Source organism: Homo sapiens, chromosome 2 (genome assembly GCF_000001405.40).
Source record: "Homo sapiens chromosome 2, GRCh38.p14 Primary Assembly".
Classification (NCBI taxonomy): domain Eukaryota; kingdom Metazoa; phylum Chordata; class Mammalia; order Primates; family Hominidae; genus Homo; species Homo sapiens.
This window is the reverse complement of record NC_000002.12, coordinates 121,751,376-121,768,428: the sequence shown is the minus strand read 5'-3', so window position 1 is coordinate 121,768,428 and position 17,053 is coordinate 121,751,376. Positions and strand designations below refer to the sequence as shown.

The 17,053-nt window shown below is 42.0% G+C and overlaps 1 protein-coding gene across 6 annotated transcripts, besides 1 other annotated feature; it reads right to left on the bottom strand.

Moving 5' to 3' along the window:
• Positions 1 to 575: 575 nt before the first annotated feature.
• On the bottom strand, positions 576 to 12,778 carry TSN (translin). Of its 6 annotated transcripts, NM_004622.3 has the most exons (6): positions 12,584 to 12,778; positions 11,096 to 11,189; positions 9,623 to 9,719; positions 6,905 to 7,020; positions 5,345 to 5,424; positions 576 to 3,295 (listed from the first exon to the last, which is right to left on the bottom strand). In NM_004622.3, the coding sequence occupies exons 1-6, from the start codon at positions 12,647 to 12,649 to the stop codon at positions 3,062 to 3,064; spliced, it is 687 nt and encodes a 228-aa protein (NP_004613.1). In that variant the 5' UTR covers positions 12,650 to 12,778; the 3' UTR covers positions 576 to 3,061. The 6 variants fall into 6 exon arrangements, 2 of the variants coding, with proteins under 2 accessions (NP_004613.1, NP_001248330.1); NR_048556.2 differs by lacking the exon at positions 11,096 to 11,189; NM_001261401.2 differs by lacking the exon at positions 5,345 to 5,424.
• Positions 12,724 to 12,913: an enhancer, noted in NCBI's record as "active region_16472". NCBI's record gives its function as "activates an Ori minimal core promoter by ATAC-STARR-seq in GM12878 lymphoblastoid cells {active_cell/tissue: GM12878}" and the evidence as "EXISTENCE:reporter gene assay evidence [ECO:0000049][PMID:35858748]".

Below are 17,053 nucleotides of genomic sequence, written 5' to 3'. Positions count from 1 at the left end.
CCATTCTGTTAGCCTCTCTGACCATTTCTCCACTTCCTCATGGACTCCATTTCCTCTGCCTACCTTGTTAAGCCATGCTGTTAACCAAGAATTTGTCCCCAGCTTGTGACTCTTCTCATTCTACACGTTCTCCAGGGAGATCTTACCCACTTTTGATTTATCCACCTGCCGCTCCAGTGTCATAAATCCAACACATCCAAAAGCAAATGCATCAGCTGCCCAGCCCCCTCCAGACATGCGATCTTCCTACACTCCTCACCTCAGTGAATGGCACCAAACCTGAGCCAGAAACCTGGCAGCGATGCTAGATTCCTCCCCGTCCCGTCCCATCTCGTCCTACTACCCGCACCCAGCCCACTCAACCAACCCACCAGTCCTGGCAATTTTACCGCCTTTAAATGTTTGTTATTGCTGTTGTTGTTGTCCAGGGGAAGGGACATTGTTTATTTCTGCTTGTTTGATGCTTATTACAGTAGATACTTAAAAAAAAAAAAAAATTATTTCAGGCTCAGGGAAAGTCTTATTTTGGTGTCAGCCCTGACTGTGATGCTCTATCTGAAAAGGAGGACAAACAGTTTAATCCAGACCAAGAAACAAGCAAACTTTAATTTCCGAGTACACAATTATGAAACTATGCCAGTAGCGACCTGCATGTTTGTCTCATCTCTTTAGCCACTTAAGTTCTCAAAACACTGCCAAAGCTTTCCTTCTCTATTAAACTCCCTTAAGCATTACTCATACTATTATTCAAGTTTAAGATGTGGCAAATCTCCCCAAGTGTATATGGCTGGTTCTCTTCTTATAAATGAATCCATAAGACAGTGTCCCCTAATTCATCTCTATTTTCTCTAACCTGCTTGATTTTCTAAAATTGGAAAAAAGTAATTCCGGTATACTAAAACCAGAGCCCAGGTTTCTCAACATCTTCAGTTAAATGACTTTTAATTCCCCAATCAAGGTATAACACACAAATGTTATCTGCGCTTTACAGTATAGAACTCTGAGTGGCTGGTGTCTTTTGGTTAGTGTAACCATTACACAGCAGTATCTGCTTGTCACCCCGGTCTTCTTTAGCCTCAAAAAATATTCAGAATTTGTTATGCACATGGGAGATTTCTTACAGCAGCACACTCACTTACAAAAAGACCAAAAAAATTTTATTGCTTTACAACAAGCCAGCAACAAACACAACTGAATAGTTATAAACATGACACTTCTAAATCCTCAAATGGAATTCCAAGACCAGAGTGTGCTTCTCCACTTTAATAGCATTTGTTAAAACTGAAATCCACAACTTCTGGCAAGTACTTCAATATTCTCAAGCAGAATCAATACTTAAAGAGGTTAAAAGAAAAAACTATTATCAAACGTATTGTCTGTGGGATGATCTAATTTAAAAGCCTTTCATGCTTGATCCTGGCAGTGCTATTACTGCACATTTTAAGTGACCATCATGGGCACTTTTAAGAACCTAACTTCACAAAAAGAGCTGTCACAAGAAAATTGTTCTAAAATCCCAATGCACAGTAACTCATGCCTCATTTCAACTGCTTTCCTCATGATGAAAAAATGTAGTCAGCCTTTAACTTGGCCTGATAAAAGCTGTGAAAGGTATGCCAAATGGCCCCTTGTACAAACAGGAAGCCCAAATTGTTGATCAGGCAAGAAAAGGTGACACTTTTAGATACTTCATATTATTCTGGAAAGCACTTTCCTTTCAGTGGGTGCAAAATAACTACGGATTAAGTCACCATTTTAATCATCTCAATTCAATAGCAAGAGTTTCCTGGCACATACTCTTAGTACTACCTGAAAATTGGGGCGTGTGGGGAAGACCACCAACAGTATTTACATGACTTGCCCCAAACTGTACATTTAAAACATGACTGTTGGGATAGTCACCAACAACCTGAAATTTCTTACTCTAAAACACATTACCAAATCCCACTGATTTATTTTGTGTGTGCTTTCGTGGTTTTTGTTTTTATATAGAGATGGAGTCTCACTTTGTTGCCCAGGCTGGTCTCGAACTCCTGAGCTCAAGCAGTCCCCCTGCCTCGGCCTCCCAGTGTGCTGGGATTACAGGTGTGAGCCACCACGCCCGGCCTGACTTATTTATAATTCACTATTTTATCTTTCTTCCAGACAAAGCAAAGCATTTTTCTCTAACAACATAATAGTCAGGATTTTGCTTATTAACTTACGTGGGTGGCTTTATACTCCCAGAACAAATGATCTAGCTGACTACTAGGAAAAAGGTTTCATAGTTTAGGAATATATCACATCACGTGTTAGTTCCAAATGTACATGAAGACAATTTTTAATTGCTGCAATAGCAGAATATTAAGGCAACATCAGAAAGCAGAGGTGTTTTAAAACACTAAGCCCTACTCCCTGCCTGGTGGAAAACAAAATGATGTTACTAAATCCCTTAATACAAAAACTTTCCAAAATAATCTGTTGAGCTTGACTTCGCAGTTTAATCTTTTACAGTTTGATGGCAGTGAGAGAGAACCTGCAGCTATAATTCCCTTGGCAAAAGAATTCAACATCTGATTTACTCACAATGCTTAAAATAAGGAAGGGAAAATATAAAATAAGTTTTCCTTGCTTGGCAACCATCTTTTTAATTATCTATTTTTATACTGTATCCAGGCTATGCCTGGGTGTGGATGGCTAACTCGCATATAGAAAATATCAAGCATCACATCTGGAAGAATCACAAACGAGACAATGAACTTCTCAATCAGTACATCAACAGTCAAGGTAAGCAAGAAAAGGACTTTACCAAGAAACTAACATTTACACTTTCTGACGGAACTGAAATACACTGAATTACAGGCATATTCACTGAAACAACAAAAAAAATTCTGTCCATGTAAAGGCTATATTTTTTACCCCCAAAAAAGTGTTTCAATTCTGATACTCACACCACAACTGGTTAAGAAAATAAAGCGCAGTGTTTAGCAACTGAGCATCCTAACTACCGTAAGAGGCACTCTGTGCTCACCCCTTCCTGGCAACCGCTGAGGTCAGCAAGGCCAGGAGCAAGGAGAGCCTCCTATTTTTCAACACAAGCTGCTGCCGTCTCCTTATTAAAGCCCCGGATGGAGAGATCATAGACCACTTCCTCTACTTTCTTCACGTCATATTTCAATCCGTCGTAGCGCTTCCTCAGGGAGTCATTTTTCAGGTTGAGAAGGCGAAAACCGGAATCCAGCTCATTGATGAAGGTGGAGATGTGGAGGGGTCGGGAGTAGTCTCCAGCAGTCACGCTGTTGACAGACAGCCTCGACTGTACCAGGAAAGAGAAAACAGGGGCTTGTTACAACATGGCTCCTTCTCAGCGCATCTTCCTCTGAATCACAACCAGAAGAACCGCAAGCCTAGACAGCCACGCTGATCTTCTATCTCAGGGTACACACAAGTACAGACAAGACAGGAGCTTCTCTGAAAAGAATCCCACTGAAAATGAGACCAGTTCTGCCAAGTAAAATTTAACATTACTAACATCTAAAATTTCTCTAATTTCTTAAACTGGCTATTGCATAATAAAGTGTTACATTACACAAGCATCTTTACAGCTCATCTGCTATCATATCGAAGAAAGAAACGACAAAATAATCACAGCAGCTCCACTACCTCTTCCAACCTTGGCCAAATGATCACATTTCTAGAGCCCACCTACTAAGCTGCAACTCCAGTCACCTAGAATCAAGTAAGGCAGACTTGGGATAAGAATCTAAAATTATGTTAGTGTAACCCTGTCTTGAAGGAGAACTAACATTGATTTCAAGACCCAACCCAAGACTCCCCTTCTCGGTGTCAGTATACAACCCCCTACTGCTCCATTTGACTGGCTTTAAAAAATATATTAAAATAATAAAAAAGATTCCCCTTTCTGTAAAATCCTCTCCACTTTTCCAGGCTTACCCCTTTAGTGCACTGTCAACATACGGGTTTTTTGTTTGTTTGTTTGTTTTTAATATAGAGAAGGGGTCTTGCTTTGTTGCTTAGGCTGGTGTGGAACTCCTGGCCTCAAGGGATCCTCCCACCTTGGTCTCCAAAACTGCCAGCATTACAAGCGTAAGCGACTGTGCCCGGCCCCAACATGTATGGTCCTAAAGACACCTTACACTTAACTAATACTAACAAGATGCTTCCTGTTTACTGGTCAGGTGTCTCCAACAAGCCAGACAAGTGGTACAGCCTACAAGTGGACCCCATCATCCATTCTCACCATCTTCCTCAGGTTTTCAATGCACACATACCCACTCCAATAGACTCCATTTCTGCCTCCCTGCAGGCAAGGCACCAGAATGTTAACAGAAGTTGTGTGTACAACTTCAAAGAAATGTCCTTAAAGCGGGAGGGCATACCATTTTCCCTATTTCCTCCTACTGCTGGCTAGAGTGAAGATGTGACTAGAGCAACAGTTCTGGAACATAAGAAAGAAGCTGAAGCTAGAAGAACCTAGGGCCAAAGATCAAGGAATCATCAGACCAGCCCTGGACTGCTTTCCTCTGGAGCAAGGACAAGCAAACTTTTTCTTAACGAGCCAGATAGTAAATATTTTCACCTCTGCAGACTGGCACAGTCTCTATCACAACTACTCAATTTTGCTACTGACAGCTTTTTTTTTCTTTAGACTTTTACAGGGCAATTTCCCTAGATAGTGGTTAAAGGAATAAAGGATAAGAATAACTTAGTTATATAGACAAATGAGTGTCCAAAACAATTACATGGATTAACAGTTACCAGGAATAAATGTTTTGCCACTACCCTAAAAGGAAGAGGTCTTATCATCGGTTAAAAATTCTTAACTCAGTAAGTATGCACTCATCATTTGATCTGGCTTTTCTCTGATGCCTAGTAAATTGTAACACATACAGTGCCAGTCAGTGACTACCTGGTGACCGAGAGATGGCTTAGAAAAGAATTAAGACGTTCTGAATTTTGGTACCCATTTTAAAAACAGACAGTGGGCCAGGCACAGTGGCTCACGCCTATAATCCCAGCACTCTGGGAGGCCAAGGTGGGCGGATCACGAGGTCAGGAGATCGAGACCATCCTGGCTAACACGGTGAAACCCCGTCTCTACTAAAAATACAAAAAAAAATTAGCCGGGTGTGGTGGCGGGCGCCTGTAGTCCCAGCTACTCAGGAGGCTGAGGCAGGAGAATGGCATGAACTCGGGAGGCGGAGCTTGCAGTGAGCCGAGATTGCGCCACTGCACTCCAGCCTAGGCGACAGAGCGGGACTCTGTCTCAAAAAAAAAAAAAAAAAAAAAAACTGACAGTGAAGCAGAAAGATCAAAAAAGCAACCAGCAAGTTACTGAGCTTACCAGTTCACTGGCAAGAATTAGAACTCCTGAGAGATAATCTTCTACATCCAGATGAAATCCTTTCTCCCGATCTGGCTCAACTAAAAAACACATGAAAATAAAGTCATGCTGTGAATGCAAGTTAAGCCTCAGAATATAAAAATATACACATAATTTCTCCCAAAGTAAGTGAAGAAAGGATGAATCTTTTAAAAACTGGCTTTTTAATATATTCACAACCTTGGCAACTAGACCTCACTATGGATTTTTTGAGTTCTTAAGCAAAATTCAATTCAGTCTTCCCTCAAAAATACTATCAAAAACAGTATCTAGTTGTGTCACAGAATATACTTCTTGTTAGAAAGCACATGATAAAGCATTTCAGAAAGGAGTTACGATATTTGCAACTTTCAAATGGCTGACAAAGACACACACAAAATGAGAAGATTAAGCAGATGTAGCAAAATGTTAACAAGTGGTAAATCTAAGTGGCATGTAAACAGGTATTCATTGTACTATTCTTTCAATTTTTCTGTAGGCTTGAAATTTTTAAAAATTCAATTTTAAAAACTAAAGCAAGTGCAAATGTGTTTGCCATTGTTATTTTTAGCTTTTACATTTCCAGGTAGAGTCGGCCCTCTGCGCTAACCAACTATGGATAGAAAATATTTGGGAAAAGGCCAGGCGTGGTGGCTCATGCCTGTAATCCCAGCACTTTGGGAGGCCAAGGCGGGCAAATCACGAGGTCAGGAGTTCAAGACCAGCCTGGCCAACATGGTGAAACCCTGTTTCTACTAAAAAAATACAAAAAATTGGCTGAGTGCGGTCACTCACGCCTGTAATCCCAGCACTTTGGGAGGCTGAGGCAGGCGGATCACCTGAGGTCAGGAGTTCAAGACTAGCCCGACCAACATGGAGAAACCTCATCTCTACTAAAAATACAAAATTAGCCGGGTGTGGTGGTGCATGCCTGTAATTCCAGCTACTCAGGAGGCTGAGGTAGGAGAAATGCTTGAACCCAGGAGGTGGAGGTTGTGGTGAGCTGAGATTGCGTCATTGCACTACAGCCTGGGCAACAAGAGCAAAACTCCATTTCGGAAAAAAAAAAAAAATACAAAAAATTAGCTGGGCATAGTGGCAGGCACCTGTAATCCCAGCTACTCGGGAGGCTGAGGCAGGAGAATCACTTGAACCTGGGAGGTGGAGGTTGCAGTGAGCGGAGATTGCACCACTGCACTCCAGCCTGGGCGACAGAGACTCTGTCTCAAAAAAAAAAAAATATTTACATAGCACTTATACTGTATTAGATATTTTAAGAAATCTAGAGATGATTTAAAGTATGTGGGAGAATGTGTATAGGTTATATGCAAATACTACACCAGTTATATAAGGGACTTGAACATCCTCAGATTTGGGTATTGGAAGAGCTCTGGAAGCATCATCCTCAGATACCAAGCTACAACTATAAGTGGTTTTTAGTTAATTCTTGTTTGTTTTAATAAACAAAGTACAACCACCCTTTCCACCAAAAAGTAAGCAACCATGCCTGATTCTGCAGATCCCACTAATAAAGACACTTACTGCCAAGAATTTCTGTAACTGCTTCTCGAGTCACTAGTGTTTCTGTTTCCAAATACACAACAAATGCTGCCAAGAAGACCAAGCGCTGCAACACAAACCTCCAGTGCTCATGAAATCTGCATGAAAATAAGCACATTTAGCCTCCAAGGTTAGGGACCTTCAGAAAGATGGGTTTAATACAGCCATGTTCAAACGGTTTAGAAATGCGATCATTTTTCAAATAAAATCTTACACAAACCCCCAATATATAAAGAGAAATATGACATTTAGCATTAATTTTACAAGTTCGAATTTATAACAATTAAGTTTAATCAGTGACAAATATGGTCTAATTTTGATGAGTATGAAAATTTACGCCGGGTGCGATGGCTCACGCCTGTAATCCCAGCACTTTGAGAAGCAGAGGCAGGTTGATCAATCTGAGGTAAGGAGTTCAAGACCAGCCTGGCCAACATGGCAAAACCCCCTCTCTACTAAAAATACAAAAATTAGCCAGGCGTGGTGGCAGGCGCCCATAGTCCCAGCTACTCGGGAGGCTGAGGCAGGAGAACTGCTTGAACCTGGGAGGCAGAGGTTGCAGTGCGCAAGATCACACCACTGCACTCCACCCTGAACGACAGAGCGACACTCCGTCTCAAAAAAAAAAAAAAAAAGACAGAAAAAAGAAAACTGAAGATTACAGATGACAAGAGCAATTGTGCCTTCTAAATTTAATCAGTAAGAACAGTGATACTGCTCTGAAAAAAATAAAAATTTGTAACTGATGATTGAAGACAACTGCAGTTATGTATCATCCTCAACGTATTCCTCCATTTTGATTTGAGTGCAGAATACCAAGAAAATTCTGATTCACAAAATTACCATTTGCAATCACTAAACAAATGCACTTAAAATAGAATACTGAGCTAGAAGCCTGAAAAAAGGAAATTTTACAACCTGTGGATATTTATGCAATGCCTCCTGATTCTCAAATGTGGCAATACATTCAAAAAAAAGGTCTCAACATAATGCAGGTCACACAAACCCTTCTGAAGGCCAAATCCAGCCAGAGGGCAGCCTGTGTGTGACCTCCAGAGAAGATGGTCTCTAAAGACCCCACCTGTTCTACTGTCCTACCTCTCTCTGTGCTTCAGCTATTACAACAGCAGTCCCTGACCTTTTCAACACCAGGGACTGGTTTCATGGAAGACAATTTTTCCACAGAAGGGGGGCGGATGGTTTCAGGATGAAACTGTTCCACTTCAGATCATCAGGTATTAGATTCTCATAAGGAGCATGCAACCTAGATCCCTCGCATGCACAGTCCACAATAGGGTTCGCACTACTATGAGAATCGAATGCTGCCACCAATCTGACAGGAGGTGGAGCTCAGGCAGTACTGCAAGTGATGGGAAGCGGCTGTAAATACAGATGAAGCTTCACTCGCTCACCTACCGCTCACCTCCTTCTGTGCATCCCAGTTCCTAACAGGCCACAGACCAGTACCAGTCCATGGCCTGGGGGTTGGGAACCCCTGCCTTACAGCAAGGATCAGCAAATGTTTTCTGTAAAGGGCCAAGTAGTAAATATTTTAGGCTTTGTGGGACGCTTTCACTGTTACATATTCTTATCTGGGATTTTCTTTTTTTTAACAACTCTTGAAAAAACAAAAGCAATTCTTAGCTCCCAGAGGCAGCAGCCACTAGTGGTTTGTCAACCTCTCCCTTAAAAGAATATTCTCATAAGGTTATACTACCCACCCCCTGAAAATACTCATCCTATTTACTGCTGATATATACGTCTTAAAAGAACATCTTTTTCAGTAAGAAAATTAAAATAAGTAGAAACTTTTGATTCAGGTGCAGTTTTTCCCAGTTTAACACCTATGAAACCAGGAGACATTTCACAATCCATGTTTCACAAGTTGTTTTTTTTTTTTAGATGGAGTCTCACTCTGTTGCCCAGGCTGGAGTGCAATGGCACAATCTTGGCTCACTGCAACCTCCGCCTGCCTGGTTCAAGCGATTCTCCTGCCTCAGCCTCTGAAGTGGCTGGGGTTACAGGGATAAGCCACCACACCTGGCTAATTTTCGTATTTTTAGTAGAGACGGGGTTTCGCCATGCTAGCCAGGCTGTCTCAAACTCCTGACCTCAGGTGATCTGCCCACCTAGGCCTCCCAAAGTGCTAGGATTACAGGTGTGAGCCACCACGCCTGGCCCATGTTTCACATTTATGACTGGCAAAATTTTCCTTCCCTACTGGTACATAAAATAATGGTGTATCTTAAAATCAACAGTGTTGATTTTAATAAGAAAACATGGCATAAAATATTAGCTAATTACATCACTTGGCAGTGAAATTCAAGCTTCAAAGTAAAACTCGACTCCATATATATACTGCCACCTAATCTCATTATTTCACTAACTATAGTTCATCCAATTTCACAAGAAACTTGAATATAGCAAAAAGATATTCTCACTTTTGACCCTCATACCACATTTTCTTTTTAATTGCTTTTTCACTGCAAAAGTAATACATGTTCCTTAAGATTTAGACAGTAAAAAGAAGAAAAAAATAAAATCACCAATTTTTGTCATGACCATTATTAGTTCGGTTTTTTCTCTTTTTGTTACTTCTACACAGGATGTTTGCCTAGTTGTAAGCAATCATTTGGTACACATAATTTTTCTCCTTTTTTTTACTTAACATTATAAAATAATGCTATTTTTCTTACAAACCTGTAATACTGTTCAGCAGGAAATTTGGTCTTCAAAGATGTTAGATGTGTTTTTACTGTACCAAAATGTTCTCGAGCTTTCAAACACCTCTTTGGAACTAGTCACAAAAGATAACCAAATGAAAAACTTAACCAAATTTCAAATACAGTTCTTGCTTAATAATCTAAGTAATCTATCTGGAAATTAATCAACAAAAAAACCTCACAACTAACGTACACATCTGTGCTTTTCAACCTGGCTTTCAAAATATCATCCCCAGTTTCCCTACTAATTAGCTATACTGAAAAATAAACAACTTGCTAAAAGGGAATATATTAGGAGACACACTGGTAATTGGTTTGGTTGTCATAAATAACGTCATCCTTAAGGAGATGCACACCAGCTGCTATTCCTGTTCACTCCTCAGAGGATGCCTAAAATTGGATTGCTTCTTCCTCCCATATTTGGCAGAAAAAAGCCTTTACCAAGTATTCACAATCAGGATGACCAACTCCGTATCATTAAGAAAAATCACTTGCCTCTGGCACGTGTAAATGCATTATTATATCATTCTTGTATCTGAAAATATACTTCAGCTCCTTTAGCTGTGCTGGCAATACCTTACAATGAAGGTTCCATGTCTAAACTTGACATATTTTATTTTCATTCAAGAGGCTGATTATAAACACATTAATTTGAGAACATTTTATACTGTTAATCTCATATTAAAAGGTATTCAATCACTGAAAGGCTGGATTCAAATACACACAGGTGCATATACACACATACACACATACACACACACACACACAAAGGGCCAAATAAAAGTCACTAGATAACACAAAAGAGTTACAAACCCTTGGGCCAGGTGCAGTGGCTCACGCCTGTAATCCCAGCACTTTGAGAGGCCCAGCCAGGCGGATCATCTGAGGTCAGGAGTGCAAGACCAGCCTGGCCAACAAAGTGAAACCCCATCTCTAATAAAAATACCAAAAAAAAAAAAAGTAGCTGGGCGTGATGGCGGGCACCTGTAACACCAGCTACTCAGGAGGCTGAGGCAGGAGAATTGCTTGAACCCAGGAGGCGGAGGTTGCAGTGAGCTGAGATGGCACCACTGCACTCCAGCCTGGGCAACAAGAGTGAAACTCCGTCTCAGAAAAAAAAAAAATTAAAAAAATAATAATAAACCCTTTTCCCGCTTACCCTGAGAATACTGTGCTGGCAGAGAGCTGCACTTTTTTTTTCTAAACAGGAAATGGGTTAAGCAATTGTAATTATCATCAGTAGAATGCCCTCGCAATAGAAAACATCTCTGTTTAAACCATACTGTGTGGAAGTGGAAGAAAAATCAACCAAAATTATCAAATCACCTACTTCTTCAATTTTTACTCACCATAAAGCATGATAGCCATTTTTCATTATAAAATGTCTTCTGGATAGAAACTCTCCCTCTAAATAAGAGACTGATAATTGGATACAAAACAAAGAACTTACTGTCCTGAAACCCAGCACCCTGATGGACCCCTTGCAGTAGAGTTAAAATCTCTCGAGCTGTTTGTTCTAAACTCTGTACAACTTTTCTGATTTCCTAGAGAGAATTAAAAATAAAAATCAGATACTCAACAGAATCATTGTCATACACTCACACAAAACACATTAGATAGCTTATGTGATCTATCATAACCAAGTTTGAATCCTGACTTTTCCACTTATTTCCTCTGTAAGACTTCAAAAAGTCACTAAAAAGCCTTAGATTCCTCAGATACCCTTTAAAGAATAATAGCCACCCATTAAACCCAAGTATTCAATTGGGACATTATAATGGATGACGTGTGTGAACGCAACTTGCAAAATGAAGAGTTAAATGCAACACAAGAGTCGGGTATTTCTAATTCTTTTTTCTTTTTTTTTTTTTTTTTGAGACGGAGTCTCGCTCTGTCACCCAGGCTGGAGTGCAGTGGCGCGATCTCAGCTCACCGCAACCTCCGCCTCCCGGGTTCACGCCATTCTCCTGCTTCAGCCTCCCGAGTAGCTGGGATTACAGGTGTGCGCAACCATGCCCAGTTAATGTTCTTTTATATTTTTAGTAGAGACAGGGTTTCCCCATGTTGGCCAGGCTGGTCTCAAACTCCTTACCTCAGGTGATCTGGCCGCCTCGGCCTCCCAAAATGCTGGAATTACAGGCATGAGGCGCCGCTCCCCGCCTCTAATTCATTTTTAAAATATTCACTGAGCATACTTATGTGCGAGGCACTGTGTAAATACCGGGGAACCAAGCACACAATCCCTTCCCTCTGGCGGTTTAACATACAATGAGGGAGAAGATTTTTTTAAAATAATCAATATTACACACATTAAAAAAAGTTAATGTGCTACTAGAAAACATAACAGGAAATAGATCGCTTAGACTGTGACGCCAATGAGATAAATACGAGACAATCAGGAAAAGAACGGGAAAGAAGCAAATTCCAGGAAAAGCAAACAGGCAGGAAGCTATTTGGGGCACTAGAAGAGGTAAAGTGAACATCATACACAAAGACAGAGAGCATAAACGAGATTGAAGAGAAACCATGTGAGCCACAGTAGAGTCTGATTTTTTATCCTGTGTGGCATAGGAAATCACAGGAGAGTTTTAAGCAGATCACATGTGCTTTTAAGACACCAACAAAAATACACGAAACGCTCATTCGCTGAAGACCAGGTGCTAATCGAGCCTTCGATATAAACAAGTGCTGAAAAGAAGGAAAACTGACACAAACGAGGCAAGTGATGCTGAGAAGCTGAGACTCGAACACGGGGAATCAGGACAGAGCAGCAAAATTTTGGGCGGGGGCGGGGAGTGCCTAACCTAAAGCTAGAGGGGAAGCAACCCACCCTCGGAGGCGTCCCCACCGCCCGAGACTGAGCGACAGAGGAGGGCCGGGCGAAGTGGCCCAACTAGGCATGGAAAGGCAAAGGGAATGGGGAAGGGAGGGGGCTCGCCTCTCGGATGTCCTGCTCGGCAGCCAAAAAGCCCTGCAGCTCCACGAAGATCTCGCTCACAGACATGGCGCCGGCTGCACAACAATCAGCCAGTGTAGCAAGGGCGGCCAAGGAAGTGGACGCCGCAGGCAACCAGCGCAATCAATCGCAACGGCCGCCGCTACCGCCGCGTCCCCCCGGTCTTACGCCACGACCGTCGCTAGGGTCCTCCGAGGCTCGCGGCGCGCCGGAGGACGGGCTGTCCGCCGCGCTGCCTGAGGCGCCGTCCGCTGCGTTCGGAACCGAGGCGCGCGTCCAAAGGGCAGAGGAGAGGGAGAGTGGGCGGGGCCTCAGTCTGAGGCCTTCAGACAGGCATCGCCAGAAACAACCTGCGAAGGCGGCCCTCGGAGCACGTGGGCCTGAGGGAGGGCGGGGACGGGCGTGTAGGTGGTGCGGGCAAGTGGGGCTGGTTAGCTTATATGTGTGTATTTATTTCATACACAACAACAGTTGGAGGGAAATATTTGACAACGAAAGAGTATGCACAAAAAACAGGTGCAGAAGAATGTAGAGAGAGTTCAGCCTTCGTGAGAGAGTAGGGGGCCAGTGCATTTCCAAAAAAAAGGAAAATAAAAGTAACGTATGTAGGACTGTGAGTAGGGAATGGATTGGGAGCGAAAATTTTCTGTGTAGATCTTTTAATGTCTTCTCTGTATGGCTGTATTACCTATTTTTAAATTAAACGGCTTTTTTAAGCGTGTGCGGTGGGATGTTTCTCTTTCCACTCACACCTTGTCCTAATTCCCCTTCCATGCCCTATAACGGTTTCCCCTTTCATGCCCTATAACGGTTTCCCCTTTGTTCTTGAAGAGTTATTTCATACACACATACTGTGTGTGTGTTCTTGAACAGTTATTCCATACACAAATACAGTGTGTGTGTGTGTTGCACTCGCCAGATGAATTGGAATGATTCTTATCAACTAAATGATAATTTATTGCTTGCTTTGTTTCTGACATTATTCTAAACTCTTTACATGAAGGATCATATTTAATTCTCATTATATGAGAATAATTTCATGTCCATGAAGAAGACAGTAAGACCACTAGCACCTACATTTTTAAAAAACTATCGGCCGGGCGCAGTGGCTCACACCTGTAATCCCAACACTTTGGGAGGCCAAGGCGGGCAGATCACAAAGTCAGGAGTTCGAGACCAGCCTGACCAACATGGTGAAACTCCGTCTCTACTAAAGATACAAAAACTAGCCGGGCGTGGTGGCGCGCGCCTGTAATCCCGGCAACTCGGGAGACTGAGGCAGAAGAATCGCTTGAACCCGGGAGGCACAGGTTGCAGTTAGCCGAGATCACACCACTGCACTATAGCCTGGGCAACAGACTCCGTCTCAAAAAAAATAAAAAACCCTTTCTTATCTCGTGTTTGTTCTCCCAAAACCCATTCGTCTGTCCTAAAGAATCCTATTTGTTCTCATACAAACTTTCGTCACCTCTCCGTTTTACCTAGAGTTAGGCACACAAGCCACTAACTGGTTTTTTGTTTCTTTCTTTTCTTGTGTGGTTTTCGTTATTGTTGTTTTGTTCTGTTTCATTTTTTGGTCTCATTACGTTGCCCAGTCGGGTCTTGAACTCCTGGGCTCAAGAAATCCTCCTGCCTCAGCCTTTCAAAATGCTGGGATTACAGGTATCAACCACTGCGCCCAGACATAAACCTCTAACCATTTAGTAGGCTAGCTACTTATTTTGCTAGCTCCAGCATCCATGCAAATAAGCCTTTTTTGGGAGTGTCCTATAAAAAGTTTAATTAGACCCTATTAGTCGATGGTGTTGTTGAGTTCTTATATGCCCATGCTGATTTTCTGTTCCGTTAATCTGTCTTTTGTCAGTTTAATTTGCAGGCCCTGGCTGGGCATGGTGGCTCACACCTGTAATCCCACCACTTTAAGAGGCTAACGAGGAGGATCACTTGAGCCCAAGAGTTCGAGACCAGCCTGGGCAACATAGTGAGACCGCCATCTCTACAAAAAATGTTTTGAAAATTGGCTGAACATGGTAGCGCATGCCTGTGGTCCCAGCTACTTCAGAGGCTGAGGTGGGAGGATCACTTGAGCTCAGGATGCCACGGCTGCAGTGAGCCATGATTGTGCCACTGCACTCAAGCCTGGGTGACAGAGTGAGACCCTGCCTCAAATAAATAATTTTTTGGAGGCCCCCATAAACTGAACAAAATATAATAAAGAGAAAGCTTTTCCTTCCCAATACTAGCTTCATAAAGAACTGGAAAGTGTTCCCTTCTGGTCTATTATCTGGAAGAGCTTATGCAGATTGCTGTTTGTTCTTTAAGTAGTTGTAGAATTCTCTGCTGAAACCTTCTCCAACGAAACCTTCTTTGGAGATCTCTTTTGGGGAATTTTTATTGCAAATTCAATTTCCTAATAGTCATAGTGCTACTCAAAGTATCTTTTTCTTTAAGAGATGGGGTCTCGCTCTGTCAGCAGGTGATTCTTCTGCCTCAGCCTACCCAGTAGCTGGGACTATAGGCACATGCCACCACACCTGGCTAATTTTTGTCTTTTTTGGTAGAGATGGGGTCTGGCTATGTTGCCCAGGCTACAAAGTATCTATTTAATATTGGGTGAGCTATGGTAGCTGTGTTTTTTTAAAGGAATTGGTTCATTTAGTCTAAGTCATTTATTTGAATAGAGTTGTTTATAGTATTTCCTTATATTCTTTTGTCATCTTCAGGCTCTCTAGTGCCACCCTGTATTTCATTCCTGATAGAAAGAATTTATCCATTTTCTCTGTTTCTCTTTGTCAATCTTGCTGGAGGTTTATCCACTTTATTGATCTCTTAAAATAACTAGTTCTCTGTTTAATTTTTTTTTTTTTTTGAGATGGAGTCTCTGTCACTTGGGGTGGAGTGCAGTGACGTGATCTCGGCTCACTGCAACCTCCGCCTCCTGGGTTCATATGATTCTCCTGCCTCAGCCTCCCGAGTAACTGGGATTACAGGCGCGCTCCGCTGCACCCAGCTGATTTTTGTATTTTTAGTAGAGATGGGGTTTCACCATGTTGCCCGGGCCGGCCTTGAACTCCTGACCTCAGGTGACCCACCCACCTCAGCCTCCCAAAGTGCTGGGATTACAGGCATAAGCCACCATGCCCGATTCTGTTTCAATTCCATCAATTTCTACTCTTTATTATTTTCTTTTTTTTTTGAGACAGAGTCTCGCTCTGTCGCCCAGGCTGGAGTGCAGTGGCGCAATCTCGGCTCACTGCAAGCTCTGCCTCCCGGGTTCACGCCATTCTCCTGCCTCAGCCTCCTGAGTAGCTGGGACTACAGGCGCTCGCCACTGCACCCAACTAATTTTTTGTATTTTTAGTAGAGACAGGGTTTCACCTTGTTAGCCAGGATGGTCTCGATCTCCTGACCTCGTGATCTGCCCGCCTCGGCCTCCCAACGTGCTGGGATTACAGGTGTGAGCCACCGCACCCGGCCGTCTGCTCTTTATTATTTTCTTCTTTCTGCTCGTTTTGGTTTTATTTTACTCTTCTAGGTTCTTGAGATGGAGCTTAGATTATTAAGATTTTCCCACTTTTCTAATGGATGCATTTTAGTGCTGTTAACTTTCCCTCTGGGCACTGCTCTTAGCTGTGTACCACAAATTTTTGGTATGTTGTAGTTTCATTTTTATTTAGTTCAATGTATTTTTTAAATTTCTCTTGTGACTTCCTAATTGATTATCTAGAAGTATATGGTTTAATTTTCAAGTGTTTAGAGATTTTTCTGTTATTGTGTTATTGATTGCTAGTTTGAATCTATATAGTCAGAGAACGAGCTATGATTCAATTCTCGTAAATGTGTTAAGATTTTGTTTAAATAGTCCGGAATATGGTCTCTCTTAGTATATATTCCACAGGCAATTGAAAGGATCTGTTGTTGGGTGGAGTGGCAATTCGGCCCTTTTAGCTGTTGAGTTCTTCTATGCCCTGCTGATTTGTCTAGTTGTTCTATTAATTTCTTAAGGGATTTTCTACAGAATCAGTCATTTCATCTGTGAACAAATAGTTTTATTTCTTCATCCCAATCTATATACTTCCTATTTCCTTTTCCTGTCCTAATGCATTATATAGGACTTCCAGTAAGATATTGGATAGGAATGGAAAAAGGACATCCTTGCCTTCTTCCCAACCTTAGAGCCAAAGTGTCCAGTTTCTCACCCTTAACTATGATGTTAGCTGTAGGGTGTTGTTGTTGTTGTTATTATTGTTTGTTTGTTTGTTAGTTTTTAGAGGTAGGGTCTTACTTTATCACCCAGGCTGAAGTACAGTGGTATGATCATAGCTCACTGCAGCCTTGAACTCCTGAGCTCAATTGATCCTCCTGCCTCAGCTTCCAGAGTAGTGGGGACTACAGGTATGCACCACCATGCTTTAATAATTTTTTTTTAATTTTTTCGTAGACATGGGGTCT